Source organism: Homo sapiens, chromosome 6, assembly GCF_000001405.40.
Source record: "Homo sapiens chromosome 6, GRCh38.p14 Primary Assembly".
Lineage (NCBI taxonomy): Eukaryota > Metazoa > Chordata > Mammalia > Primates > Hominidae > Homo > Homo sapiens.
Window position 1 is genome coordinate 56,764,463 of NC_000006.12, and position 17,067 is coordinate 56,781,529.

General features: G+C 38.9%; 1 protein-coding gene across 9 annotated transcripts in view, besides 2 other annotated features; it reads right to left on the minus strand.

Moving 5' to 3' along the window:
* DST (dystonin) overlaps nucleotides 1-17,067 on the minus strand; it is a 496,835-nt gene that overhangs the window by 306,467 nt on the left and 173,301 nt on the right. The gene's annotated exons all lie outside the window — the stretch shown is intronic.
* Nucleotides 2,574-2,693: an enhancer, noted in NCBI's record as "active region_24704". NCBI's record gives its function as "activates an Ori minimal core promoter by ATAC-STARR-seq in GM12878 lymphoblastoid cells {active_cell/tissue: GM12878}" and the evidence as "EXISTENCE:reporter gene assay evidence [ECO:0000049][PMID:35858748]".
* Nucleotides 10,940-11,785: an enhancer, noted in NCBI's record as "OCT4-NANOG hESC enhancer chr6:56640200-56641045 (GRCh37/hg19 assembly coordinates)". NCBI's record gives its function as "activates a minimal SCP1, AML or CMV promoter by ChIP-STARR-seq in primed H9 embryonic stem cells {active_cell/tissue: H9 hESC(primed)}" and the evidence as "EXISTENCE:reporter gene assay evidence [ECO:0000049][PMID:30033119]".

Consider the following 17,067-nt stretch of genomic DNA (forward strand, 5'->3'; position numbering starts at 1 on the left):
TGGCTGCAGGTGCGGTATGTTTACTCATCTAGCTCCCTAACTTTACTCATCTAGCTTTGCCTAATGGCAAAACTTGAGAGCAATGACCTTGTTTCATGTCTGTTTGTAGTAAACACACTGCCTAGCTGACAGAAGACATTCAAATATTTATGGGAAGAAAGAAGAAAATTTAAAAAAGAAGGAGTGGGAAGAACACTAAAAAGAAGGATGTTAGGCTGGGCACGGTGGCTCATGCCTGTAATCCCAGCATTTTGGGAGGCCGAGGTGGGTGGATCACCTGAGGTCAGGAGGTCAAGACCAGGCTGGCCAACATGGTGAAACACCATCTCTACAAAAATACAAAAATTAGCCGTGCATGATGGCAGATGCCTGTAATCCCAGCTACTCGGGAGGCTGAGGCAGGAGAATTGCTTGAACACGGGAGGCAGAGGTTGCAGTGAGCCAAGATCATGCCATTGCACTGCAGCCTGGGTGACAGAGTGAGACTCCATCAAGGAAGGAAGGAAGAAAGGGAGGGAGGGAGGGAGGGAGGGAGGAAGGGAGGGAGGGTAAGAAGCAATAGGCACTAACTTCAGGCTCAGGAAATCTGTGTATGATTGCCTGCTACTTGCTAGCCGTAAGAGTAGGAATAACTTATTCAGTGGTTCCAGTTTCTTATCTGTAAGACTACTGGACAATAGTCTATAATCTCTGAGACCCCATAACCTGTAGATTCTAACATCCTATTGTTTTATACAAAGTCCACCATGTTTGTGAAAGTCACCATGACAAACACCCATTTTCAATGATATTTTCAAAAGCAAAGCCTTGACCTTCTTTACTAGTTTCTGCAGATATCATTTGCCCCCAATTTTATGTTTTGAGATATTTTGAATTTCATAACAAATACTGAAATGCAGTAACAGAACTTGCAAGTGTTATCAAATTACTATTCTAGAATCATAAGAAGTCACTCAAGGAAGAAGTCAGGTAGAAACTAGAACTGCCAATGAAGAGAATGAATTCCAATCAACCATAGTAGAAATAATGCACGAAACATATGCATGCCAGGATATCATAAAGGAGAAGACTGTAAAATAAACGTACAGTGCAGAGGTGAGATATGCAAGAGATTTCTGGTCTGTCTTGAGGCAGAGGTGATGAGAGGCAGCAAAAAGCAATCTGTGCTTAGAGAACAGAGATGTTAAGATGAATGGTGAAGTATGAGTTATGAGATATAACAGAGATCTTGAGGTACTGCCAGACAGACTCAAGTTAAAGCAATTACTAGCATCTGGAAGAAGTCTCCAAAGATTTTACTCAGACTTCAGTTATTGGTCCCTGACAACTATCAGGAATGGAGCTATGACAGCCTTTTATTCAACTTTCCTAAGCAGGAAAACAAAGGCATCTCTACCACCCAAAAACTCAAAAATTTTAAACATTCTAAAAACACCTAAGTAACATTTCCTCTAAGGACTTAGCAAATTTGGTTTTGGGTTCATTGTGTTTACTTGAACTATATGTGGGCAAAGAGAATCTGAGCAAAAGGATTTGTCCTACTTAGCTAGTCACACGCACAAGTTAGTATTCTTACACTACAGCCTCATGGGACCAAAACCCAATCCATCCACTCTAACTGTGAAAGTTGAGCCTTATCTCTCAAAGATTGATTAATTGAAGCATGGATTCACATTTTGTAGAAAGCTTACATGCCTGAGACTTCAAGTCAAAGTCAATTTGCTTAATACAATTTCTATGATACAGTATAAAAAGCATGTTCTTATAAAACAAGAACACATGAGAACACATGAGTATAATGTCTCCCATGTCCATGACATTTCCACATCATGAATGTGACCACTGTTCACTGACAATGCATTCTTTCAACAAGTAGTTTCTGAGCACCTACTGCATGCCAAGTACTAACCAGGCTAGATGCCGAGATACAAAGATGGGTAAAAGAAATCTGGCTTTGACATGCTGGCTATCATGTTGTTTGGGAAGATAGCACTGCTGTCTTTCTAAAGCTTGCAGTTTCTCATCAGACATATAAGGCCTTTCTCTGCAATTGCTGCGGTATCTTTTTTTTTTTTTTTTCCTTTTTGAGACTCAGTCTCGCTCTGCCACCCACGCTGGTATGCAGTGGCGTGATTTCGACTCACTGCAACCTCCGCCTCCCAGGTTCAAGCAATTCTCCCGCTTCAGCTTCCCAAGTAGCTGGGATTACAGGCACGCGCCACCATGCCCAGCTAATTTTTGCACTTTTAGTAGAGTCGGGGTTTCACCGTGTTGGTCAGGCTGGTCTCGAACTCCTGACCTCAGGTGATCCACCCGCCTCAATCTCCCAAAGTGCTGGGATTACAGGCATGAGCCACCGCACACAGCCTTGCAGTACCTTTAATAGTTCTGATTATATGGGAAACCCCAATTCTCTTAACCTAGAAACACAAGTGGACAACCCATGCTTTAAAAATCTAATGAGTCAGTGCTTTTTTTCTGTTTTGACTTGGCTCATGCCCTTAAGCTACTCTTAAATAACACAGTAAGGAAACCTATTTATACCACCACAAGCAGCTGCAGCTTGTCAAAAAAAATCAATGAATTTTCTAAAAACATTTCTTTGGCTTGGTTTCAGTTTTCAGTTCATCTTAGAAGGTCATCAGCTAAAGATCAGGTAAGATCTAATGAATCAGCATTCTTGCACACAGCTAATGCTCTATCAGTCTCAACTTACACATTCATACATTTTTTAAAACTAATATTTATTGAAAACCTACTATGCTTTATGAGTTGAAGATACACTGGTAAACAAAACAAAGAGCCCTGACAATGTGGAATTAAATTCTAACAAAAAGAGAAACAGCAATCAATAATAATAAAAATAACAAGTGGCAGGGAGTGATGGCTTACATCTGTAATCCCAACACTTTGGGAGGCCAAAGTGGGCAGATCACTTGAGGTCAGGCATTCAAGACCAGCCTGACCAACATGGCGAAATCCCATCTCTACTAAAAATACAAAAATTAGCGTGGCATGGTGTTGCACATCTGTAATCCTAGCTACTCGGGAAGCTGAGATACGAGAATTGCTTGAACCCAAGAGGCGGAAGTTGCAGTGAGCTGGTATCGCACGACTGTACTTGCCTGGGTGACAGAGCAAGACCCTGTCTCAAATAAATAAATAAATAAATAAATAAATAAATAAATAAATAAAACAAATAAGTATTAGAGGATGTTCATAGTGATGGCTGTGAAATAAAACAGAGCAGGTTAAGAGAAATTGAGGGTGTGGAGGTTGAGGGACAAGTGAGAGGCAAGATGGAATTTTAAATAAAATGATCAGAGAGTCCCCATTGAGAAGGGGGGCATCTGAATAAGACTTAAAAGAGATGAAGGAGTTAGCCATACAGATATCTGGAAGAAAGACATTCAGATAAAGCCAACAGCCACTGCTACAGACCTAAGACAGGATATGCCTGGTGTACTCAAACAAGAGCAAGGAGGCCATTAGGTATGAAATAAAGAGACCAAGACAAAAAGTATTAAAAGATGAAGCTAAAGAGGTAACAGAAGAGCCAGGTACCACAGGACCATATAAGCCATTTCGAAGACCTTCAATTTGATTCTCACTAAAATAGGAAGCCACTGGAGGGAGCTGAGGCAAAAGAATAACAGATCTGACTTGTGTTTAAAAAGGTAACCATTGTGTACCGAGAAAAAGTTTCTCAACACAGAATATTTACCAAGTGCTTATTTCTAAGGTATAAAAAATTATTCCAACCTAGAATAGACAACACAATCCCAGAAAATAACAAGTTGAATGACTAATACTACCCAATTTCAATACCTATTATAAAGCTACAGTTGTCGAAACAGTGTGGTTTTGGCAAAAGAAAAGTCAAGTCGACCAAAGGAACATAACAGAGGGCCCAGAAATAGACCCACACAAATTTAGTAAAGTGATCTTTGACAAAAAAGAAAAAGCAATTCAACAGAGAATGGATAATCTTTTCAACAAATGGTACTGGAACAACTGGACATCTATATGCAAAAAATATACAAATTTAGGCACAGACCTTATACCTTTCACAAAATTTAACTCAAAATGAATCACAGACTAAATGTAAAATTCAAAACTATAAAACTTTAGGAAGATAACATAAAAGAAAATCTAGATGACCCTGGATTTGATGATGAATTTTTAAATACAATACCAACATCATGATCCATAAAAGAAAAAACATAGGTTGGATTCATTAAAATTAAAAACCTCCACTCTGCAAAAGACACTGTTAAGAAAATGAAAAGATAAGCCACAGACTAAGAGAAAATATTTGCAAATCATGGCTGGGCACGGTGGCTCACACCTGTAATCCCAGCACTCTGGGAGGTCAAGGCAGGCGGATCAAGAGGTCAGGAGATCAAGACCATCCTGGCCAACATGGTGAAACCCCATCTCTACTAAAAATACAAAACTTAGCAGGGCATAGTGGAACCAGAGAGTCAGAGGTTGCAGTGAGCCAAGATCACACCACTGCACTCCAGCCTGGTGACAGAGTGAGACTCCATCGCAATATACACATATATTTGCAAATCACATATATGATAAAGAACTAGTATCCAAAATATACAAAGAAATCTTAAAAAATCAATCATAAGAAAGCAAACAACTCAGTTTAAAAGTGGGCAAAATATCTGAACAGACAGTTTACTAAAGGAAATATACAGTTGGCAAATAAGCATATAAAAAGATGCTCAACACCATATTAGAGAATTGCAAATTAAAACAACGTGAGACACCACTATACACATCTATTGGAATGGCTAAAATCTAAAAAGATTACAACACCAGACGCTGGCAAGGAGGTGGAGCAACAGAAACTCTCTTTAACTGATGGTGGAAATGCAAAACAATACAGCTACTTTGAGTTGTTTCTTACAAAGCTAAACATAGTCTTACCATATAATTCAGCAATTACACTTCAAGGCATTAACCCAAATGATGTGAGAAGAGGAAGGATGCGGGAACTCTGTACTTTCTGCCTAATTTTTCTGTAAACTTAAACTGCTCTAAAAGTCTATTAAAAAAAAATTGGTCAGGCACGGTGGCTCATGTCTGTAATCCTCACACTTTGAGAGGCCAAAGCGGGTGGATTGAGTCCAGGAATTCAGGACCAGCCTGGGCAACATGGCAAAACCCCATCTCTACAAAAAAACACAAAAACTAGCCACGTGTAGTGGCAGGGACCTGTAGTCCCAGCTACTCAGGAGGCTGAGGCAGGAGAATCACCTGAGCCCGGGAGGTCAAGGCTGCAGTGAGCCAAGATCACGCCACTGCACTCCAGCCTGGGCAAGTGGCGTTGCAAGTTGAGACCCCGTTTCACAAAGAAGGAAAGAAAAAATGTATTCCTGTCCTCAAAAAGCTTATTCTCTTATTACTTTATTATCCATACTCTGCCCACTTCCAACATGGAGTTAACACATACGAAAAGGATACTAAAAGTAGAAATAAAATATCAAAACTCATGTGTAAGGAAATCAATACAGTTACATCAAAATTTTGGCTAAAGAGTTATTTATTGATGTTCCTTTGCTGACTTCCTTCAGTCAAGCCTCACTATATGTTCTCATTGCATATGAATCTGCCCTTCAGAGCATCCATTCTGGTGTTATAACTTAATCAGTGTCTAAACAGCAGATAAGACTCCTAAACAGCAGATAAGAGAGTTTAATGATGCAATAGTAACCAGGAAACCATTAATTTGGTAAAGAAACTGGGGTACAGAGAAGTTAGACAAATCATGAAAAGTCCCACTTAAAAATGGTACAGCCAGGTTTTCAACATTTGGTCTGTTTGACTCCCAGGCCTCATGGTATTGGTGTTACGCCATAAAGTATGATATAATTTTTGGACCTAATGTTATCTTCAAGTTGTAAAAGGCAGTGACTCAATAAAAATAATTTAGTTAAGCTGAAAATCAGCTGAATTTAATTTATAAAGATCATAATTTCTCCTAATTTCAAACCCTGCTAATACAATAAAACGCAGAGTGTGGGATGCCCTATTTCATTCCATGCATCCACATAGAGTTGGGGGCTCAGGTTCACTACTGGATAAACTAAAAGTTGGCATCCTCAGTCAATTTACCTGAGTGCTGCAACATAATAAGGGTTTGAAATGATGAACCAGGATTTTTCCCAGGCTAGTTTTTGCTACACCTGTAAAATGGGACTCTTACAGTAAAACCTGCTGCCTTTAAAAATGAAAACAAAGGGGCTGGGCACAGTGGCTCATGCCTGTAATCCCAACACTTTGGGAGGCCGAGGTGGGTGGATCGCCCGAGGTCAGGAGTTTGAGACCAGCCTGACCAACATGGAGAAACCCCGTCTCTACTAAAAATCCAAAATTACCTGTGCATGGTGGTGCATGCCTGTAATCCCAGCTACTTGGGAGGCTGAGGCAGGAGAATAGCTTGAACCCGGGAGGCAGAGGTTGCGTGAGCCAAGATCACACCATTGCACTCCAGCCTGGGCAACAAGAGCGAAACTCCATCTCAAAAAAAAAAAAAAAGAAAAATCCAGCAAGGAGCCTAAATTATCAAGGAGTAAGGTAGGAATTTGAGAAAAGAAAAGCTCTATTTATAAACATATCTCTTCTGGTCAATATAAACACAGCCTTAGAGCTACCACATCCCAAAATAATTTATCTTAAAAAAAAAAAACTCTGATTATACAATTACTAGGAGGAATCTTAACTATATTCCCTTTATATAAGAGTCTCTTTAAAAGGGAATGGAATCATAAATATTACCTTAGAAATCTGAGTATTACTTTAGAAGTTCATAAATTCTTTAACACAGGGCCCCCAATTTAGGCTAATGATAATCCTCACACTAGTATGTGACTAAAATTGTCTGCAAAGAGCAGTTGTCCAACTGACATTCTGGATCTGTCTGTGATATAATAGGTAAAGAATGTGGTGTCATTTAAGGAGACACTATAATTTCCTGTACTGAATGCAGAGTATTAAAATGTTGCTGTAATTTTATTTTTTTCTAACATTTCTAAATGTATAAATCATCATCAAATAAACACAAAAGCCTTGCATCAAAATATTTAGGTATATATTTTATTATTGACTATTTATGGACAAGATGTTGAGGCTCCATTTTCCTATCTAAAAAACTGGAAATACCTGGACATTGCTTGCCATGAATACAAAATGCACACATGTAAGAGCAAAATCAATCACAACTACAGGGAAAAAACTGCATCAAACACTAGAAATCATTAACAGTTTTTGGCTCATAGCTCTCTGCAAGAATCTGATGAACCCTGTGGACTTTTCTTCTAAATGCACATATACATGTATACAAAACTATACCTTACAAACTTAGAAAGTAACCGACCTTTTACCTCAGCCCAAAAACTTCTAACCAGGAGAAAAATCCCATTATAACATTGCATTGAAGAGTCACTAGACATGTACTTTGGCCTCTAAGACACAGGCAGAATGACTTATATATAAAGTATTAATACTCCAGTGAGAAAATAAAAGAATACCAGTATTAGTTATAAAAGGTTCTCCAAAAGGGAAACTGAAATAAAAGTAGGGAAGAGTAACACCCTAGCATGTGGGGTCCAGGTTATTTTAGACATGAGGATTGAGTAATGCCAAGAAAGCTGACATGTCAAAATCTCAACTTTTAAAATAGGTATATTTTTAGGCTTCTTTAGCAGGCTTCGGTTATGTAAATGCTTAATCATTTGGTAAAGCCGAATGTCAAATTTACATATAAAAACACATAAATTTGCAATATAACATCTAAATTATTTCATGTGATGGAAAATAAGAACTAAAAATACATGTTACTTATTAGCTGAATCATAGGTAGAAGTTTCTTAAAGTGATGTTTTTATGTGATGATACTGCCCATACTAGAAGAGCGTGGGGCAGGAGACTGCATGGCAGAGCAGAAACGGCACATACTGCAAGCTAACTCTCTTCGATCTGCTCCTAGAACTGCAACTGATTAGCCATGTGATTCCGATCAAGTCATTATCTTTCGGGATCCCAATTTTTAAAACCTATGAAGTTAAAGGAATGCCCCATATGACCTTTAAAACTGCTAATTATTTTATTCTAAAGTTATCTAAGAGTATATCAAAAGTAAACAAGAATCAGGGTCAATTAGTGGAGCAGAACAATTAAAATCACAAGTAGTTTTCATTAGAGGATGCCCCAAAACAACATTTCATACATGAGCGAAAATTCCTCAGGAATGTTGCTGCCACAAATATTTTGGTCCTTCAGAGTCATTGTGATAGCCAGCCTCCAGGAGGAATCCCAGTAATCCCCACCTCTGTTATGCACATCCTTACACAGTCTCCTCTCACAGTGCACTAGGGTTGTCATTGTGACCAACTGTATACAGCAAAAATGGTACGTTACTTCCAAGATTGCATTATAAAAGACAAAATCTTCAGCTTGGGTGCCTACTCTCCCTCACTCTTGGTTTCTTGTTCTAGGGAAAGCATGCTGTCATGTGGTGAGCATGCTGTGGCTTCTGGCCAACAGCAAGCAAGGAACTGAGGTGGACCAACAAGCATGTGAGTAAGCCTGGAAACAGATCCACTAACTCAGCTGAGCCTTGAGATGACTACAACACCTTGACTGCCACCTGATGGGAGACCCTGAGCCTAAAACACACAGCTGAGCAATTCCTAGATTCCTGTCCCTCAGAAACTGTGATACAGTAAATATTTCTTGTTTTAATCTAGTAGGTTTTGGGGTAATTTGTTATATAGCAATAGGTAACAGATACAGTCATCTTTTATTCTTTTTTTTAGCCTCTTGGACCTTATAAGTTATTGGTCCAGATTTATTTAGTTATTCTTTCACCCTGTCTCTTATATAACCACTGCTTATATATATACTTTTTTCATTTCCTTTGCAACCACCCAGATTTGGGTCCCCTGAATCTCACTATTAAAAATACCACAAAAGTCTATACACTATATCTCTAAGTCAAGAATCCCAAATTCAAATATATATGAGATATTCAGGCAATGTCAAGTGGACTAAGCATAAGGTAATGGGGAGGTTGGGGACAGTGGTGAACATCAGGATGAATGTGCCTTCTTAGGGTGCTGTCTTCTGCTCAACCCCAACCAACTGCTGCCATGTGAGTATGTGGGCCCAGTGTTGCCAGATCACCTGCTTTTATACGAAGACCCTAAACTCTCTATTTTTATGATATTTCTCAATTTTTGAATATTGGCTTAAAATTGTTACAGTATATAGAACAAAATATATCTACCATCTGGACTCAGCCTGTGAGCCACCAATTTCCAGCCTCTACTCTAGATCAGTCTTCCTAGAATTTCTCTCAGGCTGGGCGCGGTGGCTCACGCCTGTAATCCCAGCACTTTGGGAGGCCGAGGCGGGTGGATCATTTGAGGTCAGGAGTTCAAGACCAGTTTGGCCAACATGGTGAGAACCTGTCTCTACTAAAAATACAAAAAACAGGCACGGTGGTATGCCCCTATAATCCCAGCTACCTGGGAGGCTGAGGCAGGAGAATCGCTTGAACCCAGGAGGTGGAGGTTGCAGTGAGCTGAGATGGCACCACTGCACTCCAGCCTGGGCAACAGAGTGAGATTCTGTCTCAAAAAAAAAAAAAAAAAAAGAATTTATCTCAGATCTTGATTCCCCTGCTCAAAACATTTAAGAGTTATCCATGACTATCCATGGTTCTCTAACTGAGAAAGCTGACATTCACATACCTCTTCAATCTACCTGACCCAAACTTACCTCTCCAGCCTTATAGTCTCTATTGAAATGTTCTGTTACGGCAGACAGGCCTATCCAACACTCTCTAAAAAAGTCATTTCCCACCCACAATATTCCAGCCAACTTGCCCCATCCATGCCCTACCCATAGCTTAAAACCAAACCAAATATCACTTCCTCAGGTAAGACTTCCCTGACAGCCCATCATCCTCTAAAGTCCTGCAACAAACAACAGTCAAGATATTCATTTAGCCATTCAACACATATCAGTTCAATGGCTCTTTTACTGCCATCTTGAACTTTTCTTTGAACCTGGTATGTTTATCTTTTCAGACATTTATATTGTTCACTAACTATGATGAAATATGCTATCTACAAAACTGAATTCAGTTCACTTCAAACCATAATTACAGAATACCCTGAAGTCATCACCTACTAAATTCTGTGCTAAAGATTATACAAAGAAGAAATACAAGGCCGGGCATGATGGCTCACGCCTCTAATCCCAGCACTTTGGGAGGCCGAGATGGGCTGATCACCTGAGGTCGGGAGTTCAAGACCAGCCTGACCAACATGGAGAAACCCCATCTCTACTAAAAATACAAAATTAGCCAGGCGTGGTAGTGCATGCCTGTAATCCCAGCTACTTGGGAGGCTGAGGCAGGAGAATCGCTGGAACCCGGGAGGCAGAGGTTGTGGTGAGCCAAGATGGCGCCATTGCACTCCAGCCTGGGCAACAAGAGCGAAACTCCATCTCAAAAAAAAAAAAAAAAAAAGGAAAAGAAATACAAATCCCTAACATCCGGGAGTCTACAGATTCTTGCAAAAGCAAGATGCAAACAGCTTCAATAGTAGAGTGTAATAAGTTTTGAGGGGAATTTTAGTTACAAGAGTAACTAAATTCTCCCAGGAAGAACAGAAAGAACAAGGAAGAGATTACAGTTGATCTGGGAGAGGAAGAACAGTTTACTAAAATAAGCCTCTCCTCATCCTCTTCAGCCAACAGGCATCCTCTAAACAACCCTAACAGTCTCCGTTAAACCCAAGCACACCTGCATCCATAGCCAACGTCATTACTATCCACAAACTTTTAGGCTGCTTTGTTTATTTAACCTTGAATATCTCCTTTTTATCTCTAAATGGAACTGTGGCCATCCTAATTACATAGACAATGGGTACCAAAAAGTATTTCACTTACTAACTAAAATAGGTCTAAAGTTTTATAAGCTATGATTTCAAAATAGCAGTATTACTCTTAAAGATAGATGGCAAAACATTTCAAAGGCCCAGCGCTTAGATATTGGTTTCTAATATCAGCTTCCAATAAAAGGAACCAGGGCTCCTTAGAGAAATGGTTGATTTCAGGGCTAGGGCAGGAAATACACAAGATGAGCCTCAAGCACCTTGGAATGTCAGAAAAGGAAGGAAGTGCTCAAAAAACAAAGCAAAGGAGCATAGCGAAAGCACACAGGAGCAAACCTGAAAGAGCTCCCAATGGCCAAAGCTGGAATAATTTGAGCAACAAAACAAGTAGCATAACATTGGATTATAATCCAAAGTATAAATATCTACAAGTCCATATTGACATACATCAAGTGACTGAATGAATTAAAAAATTAGAGAAGAAAGAAGTTTCCTTCACACAAAAATCCAAACAATTTATGTAGATATTCTCCTCTCAAGGATGTGAAGCTTAATTCCCCATCCCCCGTTGTGGGCTGCACTTACAGTGCTTTGCTTCCAAATAATGATGTAAGTAAGGATGGGGGAGGAAAGAAACCTGGCAAACTTTACCGCAGTCAGGTAATCAAGGATAATAACATCATAGTGACAAGTCATGTGGGTAGCACCTACCCTTGATAAGACATGTGAATTGATATGTTAATAATGGCACTTCACCTCTGTGGTCTTCCTTGCAAAGACCCATAACCTCAATCTAACCATAGGAAAAACATCAGATAAACCCAAATTGAAGGACATTCTACAAAATACCTGACCACTACTCCTCAAAACTGTCAAAATCATCACAAACAAGGAAAGTCTAAGAAAATGTCACAGACCAGAGAAGACTACAGAGACATGACAATGAAATGTAATGTGGTATCCCGGATAGGATGCCAGAAGGCAAAAAAACAAAAAGGACGTTAGGGAAGAACTAATGATACTCATATCAAGTATGGAATTTAATTAAAGATTATGTACCAGTGTTGGTCCATTAGTTATGATACATGTACATACTAATTTAAGATGCTAACAACAGGGGAAGTTGGACACAGGGTGTTCAGGACCTACCTGTAATATTTTTGCAACTTTTCTGTTGCCAAGATCTAAAATCTATCCTAAATCTAAATCCATTACTATTTAATACTATTGTAAAATCTAAAGTATTCTAAAATTAAAAGTTTATTAAAATTTTTTTTAATTTCAAAAGGGTCACATATTTTGAAACCTTTCAAGAGTGAAAAAGAGGACTGCAGACTTAAGATTCACAATAAAAAATATTGTTAAAAAGGCAAACTCTACACCTAAATTATTTATTTTTATTTTCAAAATATTTTTTAAAAACTTACTGGCACTAAATGACCTTTATCACATCCAGAGATTTTATTTTGAATAGCATTACCGAAGCAAATTGTTTAAACATCACAATCAAATCAAGACTTGAATCTCATCAACATACCAGGGAAAAGTCAGTTTTGAGGAGACAGGCATTGTGACAGCTTAATTTGAAATTTTAACAATTATAGTAATGGAATCACACACAAATACTGTTTGGTCATCCTAACATGGTCCATTATGTTTTATAAATTGGCTAGAAATTAAGAATGAATACTGCTCATCTTCATGCAGAGACAAAAATGCTTCTCTTATTGCTGATTATTCTTTACTTGGCAGTGGCTCCTAACACTTGACTTGAATTAACCCTGATTTATCTAAGGAAGTACAAGACATTTATGTTTAAGGCAATCCAACAAATAGGAAACCCTGTTTCTGAATAAACTCTGAATCAACTGAGAAGTGAGATAAAATAGATAAGAAGTAAGAGAAATAAGTTAGATAGAAGGATAAGAGAAATACGAAGGCAAAAGGAGCAAAATATTACCTTTACTAACAATATAACCTAGCTTAAAGAATATTACTTACTACAGGCAAGTAGATGGTTTCCAAACACTAAGTCCCATAATTGAAGACTTACCCTCCCAGTCACAGGCAATGCAGTGTCATGCAAGTGGGACAGCCTGACCCTGTAAAACTTACAGCATGATGGAACAGGCTAAATCACAGATAGCTTGCTCATAAAAGAAAGAGGAAAAAGTGAGTGGTCCAAATAAACCCACTTTCTAATTTGAAACTCACCAATCACATTCAGTCACTTCCAAAAGGCACAAGAAGGCATAAATATTACACTAATGGGGTCTCTGTCATATGAAGTGAATCATTAGAAATAGGAAAGAAGCATTTCCCACATAGGATTTTTTTTTTTTTAAGATAGGGTCTTGATTTGTTGCCCAGGCTGGAGTACAATGGCATGATTGCAGCACACTGCAGCCTTCTGGGCCCAAGCCATCCTCCCACCTCACTTCCCAAGTACCTGGACTACAGGCATATGCCACCACACCTGGATAATTTGGGGGCGTTTCTGTTTTTGTAGAGATGGGGTTTCACCATGTTGCCCAGGCTGGTCTCAAATGCCTGAGCTCAAGCAATTCCCCCACCTCAGCCTCCCAAAGTGCTAGGATTACAGGCATGAGCCACTGCCCCCGGCCTGTAAGGAGTATTTTTAAATGCAAAAGAAGGTCTAAGAAAACTTAAATGTAAATATTCCTTGGTTCAGTTATTCCAGTTACAAATTTATTATATCACGTATAAGCACAAAAATTGAGTAAATCCAAGGAGTGCTTCTACTAGCATAGTTCTTTAAGTCAGTAGTATAAATGAAATCAAGGAATTGGGAGCCTTTCATTCATCTCTGTCTCCCTAAGCAACACCATGAATTAGGATAAAAACAAATCAAAATTGTCCAGGTTATCATGGTACAGAACTGAGGCAGAAATATTGCAAGAGGATTACAGGTCTGAGGGCCTACTGGTGCCCAGAGTCTTCCTTATTCTTTTCTCTTTTTTTTTTTTTTTTCAAATCTGTTAGTTATTTTTTTTTTAATTATACTTTAAGTTTTAGGGTACATGTGCACAACGTGCAGGTTAGTTACATATGTATACATATGCCATGTTGGTATGCTGCACCCAGTAACTCATCATTTAACATTAGGTATATCTCCAAATGGTATCCCTCCCCCCTCCCCCCACCCCACAACAGGCCCCGGTGTGTGATGTTCCCCTTCCTGTGTCCATGTGTTCTCATTGTTCAATTCCCATCTATGAGTGAGAACATGTGGTGTTTGGTTTTTTGTCCTTGAGATAGTTTACTGAGAATGATGGTTTCCAGCTTGATCCATGTCCCTACAAAGTACATTAACTCATCATTTTTTATGGCTGTATAGTATTCCATGGTGTATATGTGCCACATTTTCTTAATCCAGTCTATTATTGTTGGACATTTGGCTTGGTTCCAAGTCTTTGCTGTTGTGAGTAGAGCTGCAATAAACATACGTGTGCATGTGTCTTTACAGCAGCATGATTTATAATCCTTTGGGTATATACCCAGTAATGGGATGACTGGGTCAAATGGTATTTCTAGTTCTAGATCCCTGAGGAATCACCACACTGACTTCCACAATGGTTGAATGAGTTTACAGTCCCACCAATAGCGTAAAAGTGTTCCTATTTCTCCACATCCTCTCCAGCACCTGTTGTCTCCTGACTTTTTAATGATCACCATTCTAACTGGTGTGAGATGGTATCTCATTGTGGTTTTGATTTGCATTTCTCTGATGGCCAGTGATGATGAGCATTTTTTCATGTGTCTTTTGGCTGCATAAACGTCTTCTTTTGAGAAGTGTCTGTTCAAATCCTTCACCCACTTTTTGATGGGGTTGTTTGTTTTTTTCCTGTAAATTTGCTGGAGTTCATTGTAGATTCTGGATATTAGCCCTTTGTCAGATGAGTAGATTGCAAAAAATTTCTCCCATTCTGTAGGTTGCCTGTTCACTTTGATGGTAGTTTCTTTTGCTGTGCAGAAGCTCTTTAGTTTAAATAGATCCCATTTGTCAATTTTGGCTTTTGTTGCCATTGCTTTTGGTGTTTTAGACATGAAGTCCTTGCCCATGCCTATGTCCTGAATGGTATTGTCTAGGTTTTCTTCAAGGGTTTTTATGGTTTTAAGTCTAACATTTAAGTCTTTAATCCATCTTGAATTAATTTTTGTATAAGGTGTAAGGAAGGGATCCAGTTTCAGCTTTCTACATATAGCTAGCCAGTTTTCCCAGCACCATTTATTAAATAGGGAATCATTTCCCCATTTCTTGTTTTTGTCAGGTTTGTCAAAGATCAGATGGTTGTAGATATGTGGCATTAGTCTTCCTTATTCTTTTTTTTTTTTAATATTATACTTTAAGTTTTAGGGTACATGTGCACAATATGCAGGTTAGTTACATATGTATACATGTGCCATGCTGGTGTGCTGCACCCATTAACTCGTCATTTAGCATTAGGTATATCTCCTAATGCTATCCCTCCCCCCTCCCCCCACCCCATAACATTCCCCAGAGTGTGATGTTCCCCTTCCTGTGTCCATGTGTTCTCATTGTTCAATTCCCATCTATGAGTGAGAACATGGGGTGTTTGGTTTTTTGTCCTTGAGATAGTTTACTGAGAATGATGATTTCCAATTTCATCCATGTCCCTACAAAGGACATGAACTCATCATTTTTTATGGCTGCATAGTATTCCATGGTGCATATGTGCCACATATTCTGAATCCAGTCTATCATTGTTGGACATTTGGGTTGGTTCCAAGTCTTTGCTATTGTGAATAGTGCCACAATAAACATACATGTACATGTGTCTTTATAGCAGCATGATTTATAGTCCTTTGGGTATATACCCAGAAATGGGATGGCTGGGTCAAATGGTATTTCTAGTTCTAGATCCCTGAGGAATCGCCACACTGTCTTCCACAACGGTTGAACTAGTTTACAGTCCCACCAAGAGTGTAAAAGTGTTCCTATTTCTCCACATCCTCTCCAGCACCTGTTGTTTCCTGACTTTTTAATGATTGCCATTCTAACTGGTGTGAGATGGTATCTCATTGTGGTTTTGATTTGCATTTCTCTGATGGCCAGTGATGATGAGCATTTTTTCATGTGTCTTTTGGCTGCATAAATGTCTTCTTTTGAGAAGTGTCTGTTCATATCCTTTGCCCACTTTTTGATGGGGTTGTCTGTTTTTTTCCTGTAAATTTGTTGGAGTTCATTGTAGATTCTGGATATTAGCCCTTTGTCAGATGAGTAGGTTGCAAAAATTTTCTCCCATTTTGTAGGTTGCCTGTTCACTCTGATGGTAGTTTCTTTTGCTGTGCAGAAGCTCTTTAGTTTAATTAGATCCCATTTGTCAATTTTGGCTTTTGTTGCCATTGCTTTTGGTGTTTTAGACATGAAGTCCTTGCCCATGCCTATGTCCTGAATGGTAATGCCTAGGTTTTCTTCTAGGGTTTTTATGGTTTTAGATCTAACGTTTAAGTCTTTAATCCATCTTGAATTAATTTTTGTATAAGGTATAAGGAAGGGATCCAGTTTCAGCTTTCTACATATGGTTGCCAGTTTTCCCAGCACCATTTATTAAATAGGGAATCCTTTCCCCATTGCTTGTTTTTCTCAGGTTTGTCAAAGATCAGATAGTTGTAGATATGTGGTGTTATTTCTGAGGGCTCTGTTCTGTCCATTGATCTATATCTCTGTTTTGGTACCAGTACCATGCTGTTTTGGTTACTGTAGCCTTGTAGTATTGTTTGAAGTCAGGTAGCGTGATGCCTCCAGCTTTGTTCTTTCGGCTTAGGATTGACTTGGTGATGCGGGCTTTTTGATTCCATATGAACTTTAAAGTAGTTTTTTCCAATTCTGTGAAGAAAGTCATTGGTAGCTTGATGGGGATGGCATTGAATCTATAAACTACCTTGGGCAGTATGGCCATTTTCAAGATATTGATTCTTCCTACCCATGAGCATGGAATGTTCTTCCATTCGTTTGTATCCTCTTTTATTTCATTGAGCAGTGGTTTGTAGTTCTCCTTGAAGAGGTCCTTCACGTCCCTTGTAAGTTGGATTCCTAAGTATTTTATTCTCTTGGAAGCAACTGTGAATGGGAGTTCACTCATGATTTGGCTCTCTGTTTGTCTGT